Here is a 17,819-nt window from a genome sequence, read left to right on the forward strand (position 1 = left end):
ATATGAACAACTATATGACAACAAATAATCTAGAAGAAATTGACACATTTCTAGATACATACCACCTACCACGACTGAATCATTAATAGATAGAAAACCTGAGCAGACCAATAACCAGTAAGAAGATTATGAGTCAGTAATAAATCTTCCATGAAAGAAAAGCCTAGCACCTGATGCCTTCACTGGTGAATTCTATCAAACATTTAGGGAAGAAATAATACCAATTCTTCTCAAACTCTTTCAAAAAAAACTGAAAAGGAAGGAAAACTTCCAAGTTCATTTCATGATGCCAAAGCCAGACAAGGACACTACAAGAAAAGAAAATTATAGGCTAATATCCCTGGTGAACACAGATGCAAAAATCTTCAACAAAAAACTAGCAAACCAAATTCAACAGCTCATTAAAAGCATGATTCACCATAATTAAGTGCAATTTATCCCTAGGTTGCAAGGATGGGTCAATATATGCAAATCAATAAATGTGACACATGGCATTAACAGAAAGAAGTGCAAAAACCATATGATCATCTCAATACATGTAGAAAAGCCATGTAACAAAATCTCTTCATGATAAAAATTCTCAACAAAATTGGTATAAAAAGGAATGTACCTTAACCCAGTAAACACCATATAGGACAGTCCCCTAGCTAACATTATACTCAATGGTGAAAAGTTGAAAATTTTTCCTCTAAGATCAGGAACAAGAAAAGGATGCCCACTCTTGCTACTTCTATTGAACCTAATACTAGGAGTCCTAGCCAAAGCAATTAAGCAAGAGAAAGAAAGAAAAGGTATCCAGTTCTGAAAGGAAGAAGTTAAATTGTCTCTGTTTGCAGACAACATGATCTTATATAATGAAAACTCTAAAGACTCTACCAAAAAACCCTGTTAGTGTAAATAAACTCAGTAAAGCTGCAAGATACAAAAATCAACCTACAAAAACCAGTAGTGTATCTATTAACAACAAGCTATCTGAAAAAGAAATAAAACTCCATTTACAATAGTTACTAAAAACTAAATAGGAATAAGTTTAACCCAAAAGGTAAAAGATCTGTACAATGAAAACCATAAAACATTGATGAAAGAAATCAAAGAAGACACAAATAAATGAAATAATTTTCCACATTCGCAGACTGTAAGAATTAATATTGTTAACATGTTCATACTACCCAGTGTGATCCATAGATTCAATACTTATCAAAATTCTAATGGCATTTTTCACAGAAATAGAAAAGACAACCATAACGTTTGTATGGAACCACAAAAGATCCCAAATACCCAATGAAATCTTGAGCAAGAGGACAAATCTGGAGGCATCTAGTTGATTTCAACATCTACTACAAAGCTATAGTCATCAAAGCAGTATGGTACTGACATAAAAACAGACGTATGAACCAATGGAACAACATAGAGAGTCCAGAAATAAATCTACACATTTGTGGTCAATTTTTAACAAAATGCCAAGAACACACAATGGGGAAACAATAGTTTCTTCAATAAACTGTGCTAGGAAAACTGGATATTCATATGCAGAAGAATGAAATTACCCCCCCATTTCACACCACGTACAAAATCAACTCAAAATGGATGGAAGACTTAAATGTAAGACTAGAAACTGTAAAACTACTAGAAGTAGTTCTAGGGGTACTAAGGTAATCACCGGGGTAAACTCCATGACATTGGTCTGAGCAGATTTTTGGGATATGACCCTAAAAACACAGGCAATGAAAAACCAGACAAATGGGATTCCATCAAACTAAAAAGCTTCTTCACAGCAAAGGAAACAATCAACAAAGTGAAGAGACAGCCTACAAAATGGGAGAATATATTTGCAAACCATCCATCTGATAAGAGTTGATACTCAAAATACATAAGGAATGCAAACAACTCAATAGTAAGAAAACAAATAATTGAAAAAATAGAGAAAGGGCCTGAATAAATCATTTCACAAAATAAGATATACGTATGACCAACAGGCATATGAAGAAAATGCTCAACATCACTAATAATCGGAATAATGCAAATTAAAACCACAATGAGTTCTCACCTCACATTTGTTAGACGGGCTATTAACAAAAAGAACGATAACAAGTGTTAATGAGGATGTGTAAAAAAGGGAATCCTTGCACACCGTTGGTGGGAATGTAAATTAGTATAGCCATTATGGAAAACAGTATGGCAGTTTCTCAATAAGTTAAAAATAGAACTACTATATGATCCAGCAATTCCACTACTTGATATATATTCAAAGGATATTACATCAGTATATCAAAGAAATGTCTATACGCTCATGTTCGCTGCATTATTCACAATAGCCAAGATATGGAATCAACCTAGGTGTCCATCAGTGAATGAATGGATAAAGAAAATGTTGTATATATACACAATGGAATACTATTCAGCCTTTAAAAAAAAGGAAATCCTGTCATTTGTGACATGAATGAAGTTGGAGGACATTATATTAAGTAAGGTAAGCCAGGAGAAAAAAGATGCATACTGCAGTATCTCATGCACTTGAGAAGTGTAAAACAGTCAAACCACAGAAACAGAGAGTAAAGTGGTGGTTACCAGAGACTGGGGGTGAGGGCCACTGGAGATGTTGGTCAAAGGACACAAAATTTCAGTTAGACTGAAGGAATAAGATTAGGAGAGCTATTGTATATCATGGTGACTACAGTTAATAATAATATATTGTATACATGAAAATTGCTAGGAGAGTAGATTTTAAGTGTTCTCACCACAAAAAAATATGTGAGGTAATGCAAATGTTAAATAAATTTAGTTATTCTACAATGTACATATGTATATCAAAATATCACATTGTTCACCATAAATATACAATTTTTTTACTTTTCAGTTAAAAAATATAGGTCCAAGCTGGGCTCAGTGGCTCATTCTTATAATCCCAGCACTTTGGGAGGCCAAGGCAGGAGAATCACCTGAGTCCTGGAGTTTGAGAACAGCCTGCGCAACATAGCAAGACTTTCTCTACAAAAAATAAAACTAGCTGGGCATGGTGAGTATACCTGTGGTCCCAGCTACTTGGGAAGCTGAGGTGGGAGAATTACTTGAGCCCAGGAGCTTGAGGCTGCAGTGAGCTATAATCATGCCACTGCACTCCAGCCTGAGAGACAGATCCAGATCCCACTGCCATACACACACACACACACACACACACACACACACACACACACACACACATATGTATGTATCTCTATATATTTCTATATATATATCTATATATTTCTATATGTATCTCTATATTTCTCTATCTCTATCTCTATCAGGAAAGAACTAACCCCCTAAAGAGATTAGACAATTCAGGTACTAGGGATATAGTCTAGAACTTCCTGTGTTTAGAAGATCCATATTAGACGGCCTTAAATAATCAGTGAGTTGTTATGAATTAAAAATCAAGTAACTGCACAAGTTAGAATAAAAACACATTACACAATAGCCAAATGACCAAAACCTTTATGTCAACAGAGTGCACTGAGAAGTTTACATTTACTTCCATATATTTTGTGAGGGGGAGAAAAATCTCAACTTCTATTTATGGATACGAGAGCTAAAGAAATCTGTTATAATTTTGTTAGGTAAAGATGTTTTTAACTTCAAGAAGTATGATGGTTTCAGGTATCTCAGAGGAAAAAGAAATGGAGGTAACCTGAGAAATGATCCTCATGAAAGTCACAGACTCATTGCTTCAAATCTAAACCATCTTCCACTACTTTGAAGATGAGCTGAAAATTCAAACCAACTTTATTTCTCTTTGTCCTGTTCACCTGGCTCAGTCCCAATTTTAGAAATTACTGTGGAAATGTAACCTTTAAAAATATAGTAAGTCAGGGGGTGGAGCCAAGATGGCTGAATAGGAACAGCTCCAGTCTACAGCTCCCAGCATGAGCGACGCAGAAGACGGGTGATTTCTGCATTTCCAACTGAGGTACCAGGTTCATCTCACTGGGGAGTGTCGGAAAGTGGGTGCAGGACAGTGGGTGCAGCACACCAAGCGTGAGCCGAAGCAGGGCGAGGCATCACCTCACCAAGGAAGTGCCAGGGGTCAGGGAATTCCCTTTCCTAGTCAAAGAAAGGGGTGACAGACGGCACCTGGAAAATCAGGTCACTCCCACCCTAATACTGCGCTTTTCCAACACTCTTAGCAAACGGCACACCAGAAGATTATATCCCGAGCCTGGCTCAGAGGGTCCTACACCCACGGAGCCTCGCTCATTGCTAGCACAGCAGTCTGAGATCAAACTGCACGGTGGCAGCGAGGTTGGGGGAGGGGCGCCTGCCATTGCCGAGGCTTGAGTAGATAAACAAAGCATCCAGGAAGCTCAAACTGGGCGGAGCCCATAGCAGCTCAAGAAGGCCTGCCTGCCTCTGTAGACTCCACCTCTGGGGGCAGGGCACAGCCAAACAAAAGGCAGCAGAAACCTCTGCAGACTTAAGTGTCCCTGTCTGACAGCTTTGAAGAGAGTAGTGGTTCTCCCAGCACGCAGCTGGAGATCTGAGAACGGACAGACTGCCTCCTCAAGTGGGTCCCTGACCCCCGAGTAGCCTAACTGGGAGGCAACAACCAGTAGGGGCAGACTGACACCTCACATGGCTGGGTACTCCTCTGAGACAAAACTTCCAGAGGAACGACCAGGCAGCAACATTTGCTGTTCACCAATATCTGCTGTTCTGCAGCCTCCACTGCTGATATTCAGGCAAACAGGGTCTGGAGTGGACCTCCAGCAAACTCCAACAAACCTGCAGCTGAGGGTCCTGACTGTTAGAAGGAAAACTGACAAACGGAAAGGACATCCACACCAAAAACCCATCTGTTCATCACCATCATCAAAGACCAAAGGTAGATAAAACCATAAAGATGGGGAAAAAACAGAGCAGAAAAACTGGAAACTCTAAAAATCGGAGCACCTCTCCTCCTCCAAAGGAACGCAGCTCCTCACCAGCAACGGAACAAAGCTAGACGGAGAATGACTTTGATGACTTGAGATAAGAAGGCTTCAGACGATCAAACTACTCCAAGCTAAAGGAGGAAGTTCAAACCCATGGCAAAGAAGTTAAAAACCTTGAAAAAAAATTAGACAAATGGCTAACTAGAATAACAAATGCAGAGAAGTCCTTAAAGGACCTGATGGAGCTGAAAACCAAGGCACGAGAACTATGTGATGAATGCGCAAGCCTCACTAGCCAATTCGATCAACTGGATAAAAGGGTATCAGTGATGGAAGATCAAATGAATGAAATGAAGCAAGAAGAGAAGTTTAGAGAAAAAAGAATAAAAAGAAATGAACAAAGCCTCCAAGAAATATGGGACTATGTGAAAAGACCAAATCTATGTCTGATTGGTGCACCTGAAAGTGATGGGGAGAATGGAACCAAGTTGGAAAACACTCTGCAGGATATTATCCAGGAGAACTTCCCCAATATAACAAGGCAGGCCAACATTCAAATTCAGGAAATACAGAGAACACCACAAAGATACTCCTCGAGAAGAGCAACTCCAAGACACATAATAGTCAGATTCACCAAAGTTGAAATGAAGGAAAAAAATGTTAAGGGCAGCCAGAGAGAAAGGTTAGGGTACCCACAAAGGGAAGCCCATCAGACTAACAGCTGATCTCTCGGCAGAAACTCTACAAGCCAGAAGAGAGTGGGGACCAATATTCAACATTCTTAAAGAAAAGAATTTTCAACCCAGAATTTCATATCCAGCCAAACTAAGCTTCATAAGTAAAGGAAAAATAAAATCCTTTACAGACAAGCAAATGCTGAGAGATTTTATCACCACTAGGCCTGCCCTAAAACAGCTCCTGAAGGAAGCACTAAACATGGAAAGGAACAACCAGTACCAGCCACTGCAAAAACATGCCAAATCGTAAAGACCATCAAGGCTAGGAAGAAACTGCATCAACTAATGAGCAAAATAACCAGCTAACATCATAATGACAGGATCAAATTCACACATAACAATATTAACCTTAAATGTAAATGGGCTAAATGCTCCAAATAAAAGACACAGACTGGCAAATTGGATAAAGAGTCAAGACCCATCAGGGTGCTTTATTCAGGAAACCCATCTCACGTGCAGAGACACACATAGGCTCAAAATAAAGGGATGGAGGAAGATCTACCAAGCAAATGGAAAACAAAACAAGGCAGGGGTTGCAATCCTAGTCTCTGACAAAACAGACTTTAAACCAACAAAGATCAAAAGAGACAAAGAAGGCCATTACATAATGGTAAAGGGATCAATTCAACAAGAAGAGCTAACTATCCTAAATCTATATGCACCCAATACAGGAGCACCCAGTTTCATAAAGCAAATCCTTAGAGACCTACAAAGAGACTTAGACACCCACACAATAATAATGGGAGACTTTAACACCCCACTGTCAACACTAGACAGATCAACGAGACAGAAAGTTAACAAGGGTGTCCAGGAATTGAACTCAGCTCTGCACCAAGCAGACCTAATAGACATCTACAGGACTCTCCACCCCAAACCAACAGAATATACATTCTTTTCAGCACCACACCACACCTATTCCAAAATTGACCACATACTTGGAAGTAAAGCACTCCTCAGCAAATGTAAAAGAACAGAGATTATAACAAACTGTCTCTCAGACCACAGTGCAATCAAACTAGAACTCAGGATTAAGAAACTCACTCAAAACAGCTCAACTACATGGAAACTGAACAACCTGCTCCTGAATGACTACTGGGTACATAACGAAATGAAGGCAGAAATAAAGATGTTCTTTGAAACCAATGAGAACAAAGACACAACATACCAGAATCTCTGGGACACATTCAAAGCAGTGTGTAGAGGGAAATTTATAGCACTAAATGCCCACAAGAGAAAGCAGGAAAGATCTAAAATTGACACCCTAACACCACAATTAAAAGAACTAGAGAAGCAAGAGCAAACACATTCAAAAGCTAGCAGAAGGCAAGACATAACTAAAATCAGAGCAGAACTGAAGGAAATAGAGACACAAAAAAGCCTTCAAAAAAATCAATGAATCCAGGAGCTGGTTTTTTGAAAAGATCAACAAAATTGATAGACCGCTAGCAAGACTAATAAGGAAGAAAACAGAGAAGAATCAAATAGATGCAATAAAAAATGATAAAGGGGATATCACCACCAATCCCACAGAAATACAAACTACCATCAGAGACTACTATAAACACCTCTATGCAAATAAACTAGAAAATCTAGAAGAAATGGATAAATTCCTCGACACATACACCCTCCCAAGATTAAACCAGGAAGAAGTTGAATCTCTGAATAGACCAGTAACAGGCTCTGAAATTGAGGCAATAATTAATAGCTTACCAACCAAAAAAAGTCCAGGACCAGATGGATTCACAGCCGAATTCTACCAGAGGTACAAGGAGGAGCTGGTATCATTCCTTCTGAAACTATTCCAATCAACAGAAAAAGAGGGAATCCTCCCTGACTCATTTTATGAGGCCAGCATCATCCTGATACCAAAGCCTGGCAGAGACACAACAAAAAAAGAGAATTTTAGATCAATATCCCTGATGAACATTGATGCAAAAATCCTCAATATAATACTGGCAAACCGAATCCAGCAGCACATCAAAAAGCTTATCCAACATGATCAAGTGGGCTTCATCCCTGGGATGCAAGGCTGGTTCAACATAAGCAAATCAATAAACGTAATCCAGCATATAAACAGAACCAACGACAAAAACCATATGATTATCTCAATAGATGCAGAAAAGGCCTTTAACAAAATTCAACAACCCTTCATGCTGAAAACTCTCAATAAATTAGGTATTGAAGGGATGTATCTCAAAATAATAAGAGCTGTCTATGACAACCCCACAGCCTATATCTTACTGAATGGGCAAAAACTGGAAGCATTCCCTTTGAATACTGGCACAAGACAAGGATGCCCTCTCTCACCACTCCTATTCAACATAGTGTTGGAAGTTCTGGCCAGGGCAATCAGGCAGGAGAAAGAAATAAAGGGTATTCAGTTAGGAGAAGAGGAAGTCAAATTGTCCCTGTTTGCAGATGACATGATTGTATATCTAGAAAACCCCATTGTCTCAGCCCAAAATCTCCCTAAACTGATAGGCAACTTCAGCAAAGTCTCAGTATACAAAATCAATGTGCAGAAATCACAAGCATTCTTATACACCAATAACACACAAACAGAGAGCCAAATCATGAGTGAACTCCCATTCACAATTCCTTCAAAGACAATAAAATACCTAGGAATCCAACTCAAAAGGGATGTGAAGGACCTCTTCAAGGAGAACTACAAACCACTGCTCAATGAAATAAAAGAGGATACAAATACATGGAAGAACAATTCCATGCTCATGGGTAGGAAGAATCAACAATGTGAAAATGGCCATAGTGCCCAAGGTAATTTATAGATTCAATGCCATCCCCATCAAGCTACCAATGACTTTCTTCACAGAATTGGAAAAAACTACTTTAAAGTTCATATGGAACCAAAAAAGAGCCCTCATTGCCAAGTCAATCCTAAGCCAAAAGAACAAAGCTGGAGGCATCACACTACCTGACTTCAAACTATACTACAAGGCTACAGTAACCAAAACAGCATGGTACTGTTACCAAAACAGAGATATAGACCAACGGAACAGAACAGAGCCCTCAGAAATAACGCCGCATATCTACAACCATCTGATCTTTGACAAACCTGACAAAAACAAGCAATGGGGAAACAATTCCCTATTTAATAAATGGTACTGGGAAAACTGGCTAGCCATATGTAGAAAGCTGAAACTGGATCCCTTCCTTACACCTTATACAAAAATTAATTCAAGATGGATTAAAGACTTAAATGTCAGACCTAAACCCATAAAAACCCTAGAAGGAAACCTAGGCAATACCATGCAGGACATAGGCATGGGCAAGGACTTCATGTCTAAAACACCAAAAGCAATGGCAACAAAAGCCAAAATTGACAAATGGGATCTAATTAAACTAAAGAGCTTCTGCACAGGAAAAGAAACTACCATTGGAGCGAACAGGCAACCTACAGAATGGGAGAAAATTTTTGCAATCTACTCATCTGACAAAGGGCTAATATCCAGAATCTACAATGAACTCAAACAAATTTACAAGAAAAAAAACAAACAACCCCATCCAAAAGTGGCCAAAGGATATGAACAGACACTTCTCAAAAGAAGACGTTATGCAGCCAAAAGACACATGAAAAAATGCTCATCATCACTGGCCATCAGAGAAATGCAAATCAAAACCACAATGAGATACCATCTCACACCAGTTAGAATGGCGATCATTAAAAAGTCAGGAAACAACAGGTGCTGGAGAGGATGTGGAGAAAAAGGAACACTTTTACACTGTTGGTGGGACTGTAAACTAGTTCAACCATTGTGGAAGTCAGTGTGGTGATTCCTCAGGGATCTAGAACTAGAAATACCATTTGACTCAGCCATCCCATTACTGGGTATATACCCAAAGAATTATAAATCATGCTGCTATAAAGACACATGCACATGTAAGTTTATTGAGGCACTATTCACAATAGCAAAGACTTGGAACCAACCCAAATGTCCAACAATGATAGACTGGATTAAGAAAATGTGGCACATATACACCATGGAATACTATGCAGCCATAAAACATGATGAGTTCATGTCCTTTGTAGGGACATGGATGAAGCTGGAAACCATCATTCTCAGCAAACTATAACAAGGACAAAAAACCAAACACCGCCTGTTCTCACTCATAGGTGGGAATTGAACAATGAGAACACATGGACACAGGAAGGAGAACATCACACACCGGGGCCTGTTGTGGGGTGGGGGCAGGGGGAGGGATAGCATTAGGAGATATATCTAATGTTAAATGACGAGTTAATGGGTGCACCACACCAACATGGCACATGTATACATACGTAACTAACCTGCACGTTGTGCACATGTACCCTAAAACTTAAAGTGTAATAAAAAAATGTAGTAACTCAACCTCAACAGCGCTTTTCCTCTTCTTCTCTTTGAAAGTGTCCAGAAACCCCATACCATCATCGACCAAACTCTACTGCCAGTAGTAGGGGCCAGAGAAGTCACCGAAACAGCAATTCAGAAATTAAAGATGTTCTTGGGCAAGGTGACTACTTCTTTCCTTTCACGTCTTCTTTTACCTTCCAAATGACCAGATCCATGCAGGCTTTTGCATTTTCACTAGCATTGTGACCTCCAAATAGTACAGAATATTTTTTAAAGTGTTAGACATAAGACAACCATAATCTCTGATGTTACTTACATATTTCTCAAAATTAAGCCTTCAATTTATGTTTCTAACAAAGTTAACACTGCTCACCTATCGAAATATCATTAATACCTAATACAACCTCCAATGATTGCTTTATAAATGTTTTACATGAATGTACTAGATTAACAAACATTGTTCTTTTTCTAGGTAGTCTTTCCTCTGTCACATTATCACTACCTTGCAATGATTGGCTAGCACATCGGTACCCTCAGCTGTGTATCTCCTTCCCAGGGAGGTATGAGAAGAAAGTGGAGGGATCACCAAAGCAAGACATCTGCCTAGAAGCCAGAAATGTCGAATGGTTAAAAAAAGAAAAAAAAAAGTAATCTCTCTAAATAAAAGAACAACTTTAGGCACAAGTTTATATGGTTTTAAAAAGTAGATAAAATTTACCCAAAACATAAAGCTGTATAGTTCTGGTGAGAATAATAAATGATATCTGAGATTGGGTGAGAAAGTCGTATGGTCAATGCTTCTAAAATGGTGTAATAGTTTTCATTTCTTTACTTGTGTCTTACCCCAAGAAAGCTCTGATATTTTTTTAACTTTTAGAAGATTTTGTTTTAAACAGATTTGTTAACTGAAAGATTATGACCATGGTTCAAGATTATTTTCAACAGAAGGCCCTACAAATTCTATAATAGAATGTTATGGGAATTCTTTCTGAAATGAGTATTCTTAACAAAGCAGAGGATGTAAAAGATTCTCTGGAGAGGAGTGTAAGTTCATCATAAAATGAAATCATTTTGTATAATGAATGATATGATCAGAGGAACATCCATATCTCGAGAATCTTTAGAAACAAAGCAGCGTAATATAATTTTAACATATTTAAAGTTAACTTGCTCTACTGTTTGTACACAGGAAGGGCCTATATAGGCATACATGAATATACAGGTATCCTCCATTCCACGCCAGACACTGGTGAAACTGTGCATATAGCAATGCCACGAACAGGTAATTGGTGGCTAGATTTGTTGTACTTGATTAACTTGTTTAACATTGGGTATATTTCATCAGAAAAAGCAGAAATAGAAAAATTGGCAGCAAGATATACAAATCTGGTATAAATCAAGTTCACACATAATGACTGAATTTGAGCCATACCCCCCCCCCCACCCCACACACACACAAATTTTCTCTTGGTGAGATAACCTGGACCCAATCAAATGTAGAAAGAACCTCTTTTGTTCTAATGAGAAGCACATATGAAAAGAGGTATACAGCAAGATTTAGAATGGAACAACAAAAGTTCTGTGCATGAATTCAAAGGCCAGACCCAATGATCTGACCACTGTTCTCAGTGAGATTGCTGTTCTGATTCATGAGGAACACCCAGGACTATACCAGGCAATGGCATATAATGGTTTTTTACACAAGCACAGGCAGATGCTTTAGGATTCTCCACCAGAGGAGAGAACCCCCAGAAAAGAACCTGGTCTCCTACCTTAAGCATCTTAGACAGTAGACCTTTATGATGAACCTCACTGTTGTTCAGTCAAGTCAGACTGAGGGTCTTGACATCAGTCATGAGCAAATGGGCTCTTACCATCATCCTGAACGATTCTCTGCAGGCAATCAGCCATTAGACTCCTAAGGGGTCTTTTGGGAGGCAAGCCAAGCTGATGAGGAAACATAACCGATATGTCCACAACTGAAGTGTGAATTAACTATCAAATAAAAGTAAAAAAAAAAAAACACCTTTAACTTTCAAATAAAAGTAAAAACTCCAAAATAAGGATGCTGATAGCAGCAATAACTACTTAGGAACAAGGACTATGATACAAGAACAGGCAACAGTCGTGATGTGTCAGTTACTGGACTAAGTATATTGCATAGTTTATCCTGCTGTACTTTGCAGAGTAACCTAATGAGATAGGTATTTTTATTGTCCCTCTTCATAGACAAGGAAATTGAAATTTTGAGAGGTTAAAAAACTTGCCTAAACTTACTTAGTAGAGCTGAAGGAAATAAAATCTAAACAGTCTAACTTCAGAGTCCACACTTTTCTACCATGAGGAACCACCAGAGGGCAACATCAGGGCAGAGAGGTTCTCACAAGCACTCGGGGAGGCAGAGAACCAGGCTCTGCCCACATTGTGACTTGGCTGAGAGGGGCACACCCCAGTTCAGTACATGCCATATCGCATTTCAGTGGTTTGCTTATCTGCCTCTGGGGAGAAGGCACACACAACAGCTCAGGCCTATCTAGTTCCAAATCCCCCATGATTACACATGGAAGAAGCTGAATATGTTTTTACTGAAGTTTGGTGATGTGGAAAATATTATTGATAGAATAGATATGGAGGGAGAGGGGTCAGATAATCTAAGGGCTCAGGAAGTCAGGTACCAGTTTGGATTCCTTATTAGGAGAACTGTACTTTGAAAGAAGCATTTAAAGATTAGCCTGAGAACAAGAGTAATTTGAAGACTAAGAAATGAGGAGTCATAAATTTAAAATTTAGTATCAACTATGCCTTGCCTGACATAACACTTTAAATGATTATTCAGTGTGCCAGCCACCATGCTCGGCACTGGTTCCTACCTGCAGGGTAGTCTGTAGGGAGCACAGAGCACAAGAAGAGGAGAAATGATCAAGAAGCTGCACGGGAGAAGGAGGGAGTGGGGAACTCCCGCAGCAGGTACCACTTTGGGGCATCCTAGCACAGTGTCCCTACTCTCAGGGATTTTCAGAGTAGTGGGGAAAGGTGAAACAGGGGTTGGAACAGACAAAACTCAGCTTGGGGGACAAGGGAAGTTTCCATAAGATGACTCTAAAAGAAGTTGATGGTGGAAATAGAGAAAAGTATGAAAATCCATGAGTCTTCTGGGTGGAAGAAACAGAACGATTCCAAGGAATGAGGAAATGCAATGTTTTGAAATTTTCTGGTCTGGAGGACATGCAGGATAGAATGGTTCCTGAGAAATCAGGGGCAGGAAAGTCATAGTGAGAGGTGCAGTTTGGGAGATGATGTTTTTGAGGGGACAAGAGGATACCCCTTTTTTCTTATGAAAAACTCATGTCCCCAACTCTCTTTTCTTACAGTTTGGCAAGGTCCAGAGGCAAGTACATTCCAGTCTCATTTGTCACATGCAGAGACAACATTACTCTTTGAAACAAATATCCTATACTTTGGATACCAGCTTCATCAAGAAAAAGGCTGATATTCATCTATGAAAATTAAATGGCCTTACTCATATTTTTGCACTGAAGAAGAGCTAGCCCTTCTCTGCATGAAGGCTAGTCCTAGGGGTGGCTGAGACAAACACTCAGCTAAAGGTCCCGAAAGTTCTAGAGCTGTGTTGTGCAATGTGGTAGCCACAAGCTTTATGGGACTGTTGAAATTCAAATTAAAATTAAACAAAATTAGAAATGCATTTCCTCAGTCACATTAGACATCTTTCAAGTGCTCAACAGCCAAGTGTGCCTAGTGTCTACCATATTGGGTAGTGCAGATGTAGAATAGAAAGTTCTTTTGGATAACACCGTTCTACGATGGGATGGGTAAACTTTTTTCTAAAAGTGCCAGATTTAATATTTTCAGCTTGCAAGTCACATGATCTGTCACAACTACTCAACAATATCATTAAAGTGTGAAAGCAGCCATACACAATCTGTAAATGAGTGGGTATGATGGCTTCATTCCAAGAAAAATATTTAGAAAAACAGGTGGCCAGCCCATGGGCCGTAGTTCACTGGCCCAGGTCTAGAACGTAGAGCAAAACACACACATTTTAACCTGGAGTATATTAAGGAAAGGTTTTCATGTCTATTATGCCAAGAAAATGAACCTAACATTTAATTTTGAGCCTACCTGACTTAATGTGGAAAAAGACCCCTAAGTATGTGAATAAAATAATCAGTTAATAAATTTAGTCTTGTCTATTTGATTATTAAGGAAAGTCTGTGAAAACAATGGTTTGGGTTTTATCATAATTGATGAGGGACTATTCTTTATGATCTTGATTAGCCAGATGATGTGAACTGTCTGACACGGCTTCTAGTTTGTGGTAGTTAGACTGTATCATCAGCAAAGACAGCGATTATTGTCTTCTTGGTTAACAGGGCAAATCAAGTATCAATTATAACATAATGATAATGACTGCTATCTTAACACATGTGGTTTTATACATTTTTTTTGTAAAAAAATATGTTGGCTTCTAATTCTTTACCTAAGGGTATAGACTATGTTCAAAGTGATGTCCGATTAATACATCACTTTAGTGACACATTAGTACAGTGTCAGCACTAAACAGGTTCAACAAGATAGCTTGGACATCACGGGTTGATGTTTTAATGTTCTTCAAGTCATCTTCTGCCACACCAGAAAACCTACCCCAAGATGACATATAATAGCATATAAAAATTTAACTCCATGAATTTTATCAGTTATAGTTAGAACACATTATTGACCCAATGTGACAAACAGCTGAATGAAACAAAGATCTTATCTGCATGACTGTCAACTACCTCTCTGCTAGTTTACATTGGTAAACTAGGAAAATTTATCATTTGGTTCCATAATGCAAGGCTGAGGGGAGAATACATTATTACAAGTTCAGAGTTCCTGTTGAATTCTGATCTTTGCATAATCTGAATTTTATTCAATACCATTTGTTAAGTATCCTGTCTCCCAGTAACATAAGCCTAAAGACAAAATATGGGTAGCATGGTCGAACAGATGGAGCCCTGGGCAGATTCTAGAAAACCTGGGTTTGAACTATGCTTTGATCTGCCATTTACTTACTATATGTTATTTTCAGGTAGTTATTTAATCTTCTGGTCTCAGTCTGCTCTTCTGTAAAGTAGGGATAATTACCAACCTACTAGTTTATGAGGACCCAATGAAAATGCATGCAGGAAAGTGACTACTCTAGTGGCTTTCATAAAGCACACACTAAAATAAATATTTAGAACTCAGCTACTGCTAAGGGAGAAAAATACTGCACAAGTATTTTTAACTGAAACTATATGGTGATATTGTCTTTTGTAAGGAGCAAAAGATACCTGGCTCCATTACTTGGCTTAGTTAGGGAATATGACACATAGTTAATAAGACATTTAGATCAAGAAGAAGTTAGCATAGATGGAGTGCATGGGTTTGTTTAAAAATATTTTCTAAAGAATGTAATGCATCAAATGCATTTGAATGTTTTCAAGATTCAAAGGTTTTTGTTTTGTTTTGTTTTGTTTTTTAACTAATGTCAGCCCTTCAGTTCTCATTTTGTCATTATGAATATCAATAGTTACCTATTTCCTGATTCGTTCCAAAAAAAGGAATTAGGGAAGATTCTATTAAACTCATGGAAGAATAAGAACAAATAAGGGTATAATAGATGGGAGGGCTGGCAAGATGGCTGAACAGGAACAGCTCCAGTCTGCAGCTCCCAGTGAGATCGACGCAGAAGGCGGGTGATTTCTGCATTTCCAACTGAGGTATCCGGTTCACCTCACTGGGACTGGTTGGAGAGTGGGTGTAGCCCACGGAGGATGAGCTGAAGCAGGGTGGGGCATCGCCTCACCTGGGAAGTGAAAGGGGTTGGGGGATTTCCCTCCCCTAGCCAAGGGAAGCCATGAGAGACTGCACCTGGAGGAACGGTGCACTCCAGCCGAGATACTGTGCTTTTCCCATAGTCTTTGCAACCGGCAGACCCGGAGATTCCCTCTGGTGCCTACCCTACCAGGGCCCTGGGTTTCAAGCACAAAACTGGGTGGCTGGGCGGACACCAAGCTAGATGCAGGAGTTTTTTTTTTTTTTTTTTTTTTTCCATACCCCAGTGGCACCTGGAATGCCAGCGAGACAGAACCATTCACTCCCCTGGAAAGGGGGCTGAAGCCAGGGAGCCAAGTGGTCTGGCTTGGCGGGTCCCACCCCCATGGAGTCCAGCAAGCTAAGATCCACTGGCTTGAAATTCTCACTGACAACACAGCAGTCTAAGGTCGACCTGGGATGCTCAAGCTTGGTGCGGGGAGGGGCGTCCACCATTACTGAGGCTTGAGTATGGGGTTTCCCCCTCACGGGGTAAACAAACCCACTGGGAAGTTCAAACTGGGCGGAGCCAACCGCAGTTCAACAAGGCCGCTGCGGCCAGACTGCCTCTCTAGATTCCTCCTCTCTCAGCAGATCATCTCTGAAAAAAAGGCAGCAGCCCCAGTTAGGACTTATAGATAAAACCCCCATCTCCCTGGGACAGAGCACCTAGTGTAAGGAGTGGCTGTGGGCGCAGCTTCAGCCGATTTAAATGTCCCTGCCTGACAGCCCTGAAGAGAGCAGCGGATCTCTCAGCACAGCATTTGAGGGACAGACTGCCTCCTCAAGTGGGTCCCTGGCCCCCATGTATCCTGACTGGGAGACACCTCACAGCAGGGTTCGACAGACACTTCATAAAAAAGAGCTCCAGCTGGCATCTGGCAGGTGCCCCTCTGGGGTGAAGCTTCCAGAGGAAGGAACAGGCAGAAATCTTTGCTGTTCTGCAGCCTCCGCTAGTGATACCCAGGCAAAAAGGGTCTGGAGCGGACCTCCAGCAAACTCCAGCAGACCTGCAGCAGAGGGTCCGGACTTTTAGATGGAAAACTAACAAACAGAAAGGAATAGTATCAACATCAACAAAAAGGACATCCAAAGACACCATTTGAAGGTCACCAACATCAAAGGCCAAACAAAGGTAGATAAATCCACAAAGATGGGGAGAAACCAGCGCAAAAAGGCTGAAAATTCCAAAAACCAGAATGCCTCTTCTCCTCCAAAGGATCACAACTCCTCACCAGCAAGGGAACAAAACTGTGGTTAATAAAAAACTCCTCTGAGCTAAAGGAGCATGTTCTAACCCAACGCAAGAAAGCTAAGAACCTTGAAAAAAGGTTAGACGAATTGCTAACTAGAATAACCAGTTTAGAGAAGAACATAAATGACCTGATGGAGCTGAGAAATGCACAGTACGAGAACTTTGTGATGCATACACAAGTATCAATAGCTGAATCGACCAAGCGGAAGAAAGGATATCAAAGATCGAAGATCAACTCAATGAAAGTGAGAAGATTAGAGAAAAAAGAGTGAAAAGAAACAAACAAAGCCTCCAAGAAATATGGGACTATGTGAAAAGACCAAATGTATGTTTGATTGGTGTACCTGAAAGAGATGAGAGGAATAGAAACAAGTTGGAAAACTCTTCAGGATATTATCCAGGAGAACTTCCTCAACCTAGCAAGGCAACTCAACATTTAAATTGAGGAAATACAGAGAACACCACAAAGATACTCCTCGATAAGAGCAACCCCAATACACGTAACTGTTAGATTCACCAAGGTTGAAATGAAAGAAAAAATGTTAAGGGCAGCCAGAGGGAAAGGTTGGGTTACCCACAAAGGGAAGCCGATCAGACTAACAGCGGATCTCTCTGTAGAAACCCTACAAGCCAGAAGAGAGTGGGGGACAAAATTCAACATTCTTAAAGGGAAGAATTTTCAACTTGAGAAGATTAGAGAAAAAAGAGTGAAAAG

The 17,819-nt window shown here is 39.8% G+C and overlaps 1 pseudogene across 1 annotated transcript in view, besides 4 other annotated features; it reads right to left on the reverse strand.

Moving 5' to 3' along the window:
• Window positions 3,798-4,298: an enhancer, noted in NCBI's record as "NANOG-H3K4me1 hESC enhancer chr9:27239318-27239818 (GRCh37/hg19 assembly coordinates)". NCBI's record gives its function as "activates a minimal SCP1, AML or CMV promoter by ChIP-STARR-seq in naive H9 embryonic stem cells {active_cell/tissue: H9 hESC(naive)}" and the evidence as "EXISTENCE:reporter gene assay evidence [ECO:0000049][PMID:30033119]".
• Window positions 4,299-4,799: an enhancer, noted in NCBI's record as "NANOG-H3K4me1 hESC enhancer chr9:27239819-27240319 (GRCh37/hg19 assembly coordinates)". NCBI's record gives its function as "activates a minimal SCP1, AML or CMV promoter by ChIP-STARR-seq in naive H9 embryonic stem cells {active_cell/tissue: H9 hESC(naive)}" and the evidence as "EXISTENCE:reporter gene assay evidence [ECO:0000049][PMID:30033119]".
• The window catches only part of REXO6P (RNA exonuclease 6, pseudogene), a 37,110-nt pseudogene continuing 29,452 nt past the window's right edge, over window positions 10,162-17,819 (reverse strand). Inside the window, exons 16-17 of the transcript NR_026679.1 lie at window positions 11,868-11,988; window positions 10,162-10,240 (exon numbers count right to left, since the gene is read on the reverse strand). The product of NR_026679.1 is annotated as an RNA exonuclease 6, pseudogene (transcript). The remainder of the gene's footprint in view (window positions 10,241-11,867; window positions 11,989-17,819) is intronic.
• Window positions 15,627-16,128: an enhancer, noted in NCBI's record as "H3K27ac hESC enhancer chr9:27251147-27251648 (GRCh37/hg19 assembly coordinates)". NCBI's record gives its function as "activates a minimal SCP1, AML or CMV promoter by ChIP-STARR-seq in primed H9 embryonic stem cells {active_cell/tissue: H9 hESC(primed)}" and the evidence as "EXISTENCE:reporter gene assay evidence [ECO:0000049][PMID:30033119]".
• Window positions 16,129-16,628: an enhancer, noted in NCBI's record as "H3K27ac hESC enhancer chr9:27251649-27252148 (GRCh37/hg19 assembly coordinates)". NCBI's record gives its function as "activates a minimal SCP1, AML or CMV promoter by ChIP-STARR-seq in naive and primed H9 embryonic stem cells {active_cell/tissue: H9 hESC(naive and primed)}" and the evidence as "EXISTENCE:reporter gene assay evidence [ECO:0000049][PMID:30033119]".

The sequence above is a fragment of the Homo sapiens genome, chromosome 9, assembly GCF_000001405.40.
Source record: "Homo sapiens chromosome 9, GRCh38.p14 Primary Assembly".
Taxonomy (NCBI): domain Eukaryota; kingdom Metazoa; phylum Chordata; class Mammalia; order Primates; family Hominidae; genus Homo; species Homo sapiens.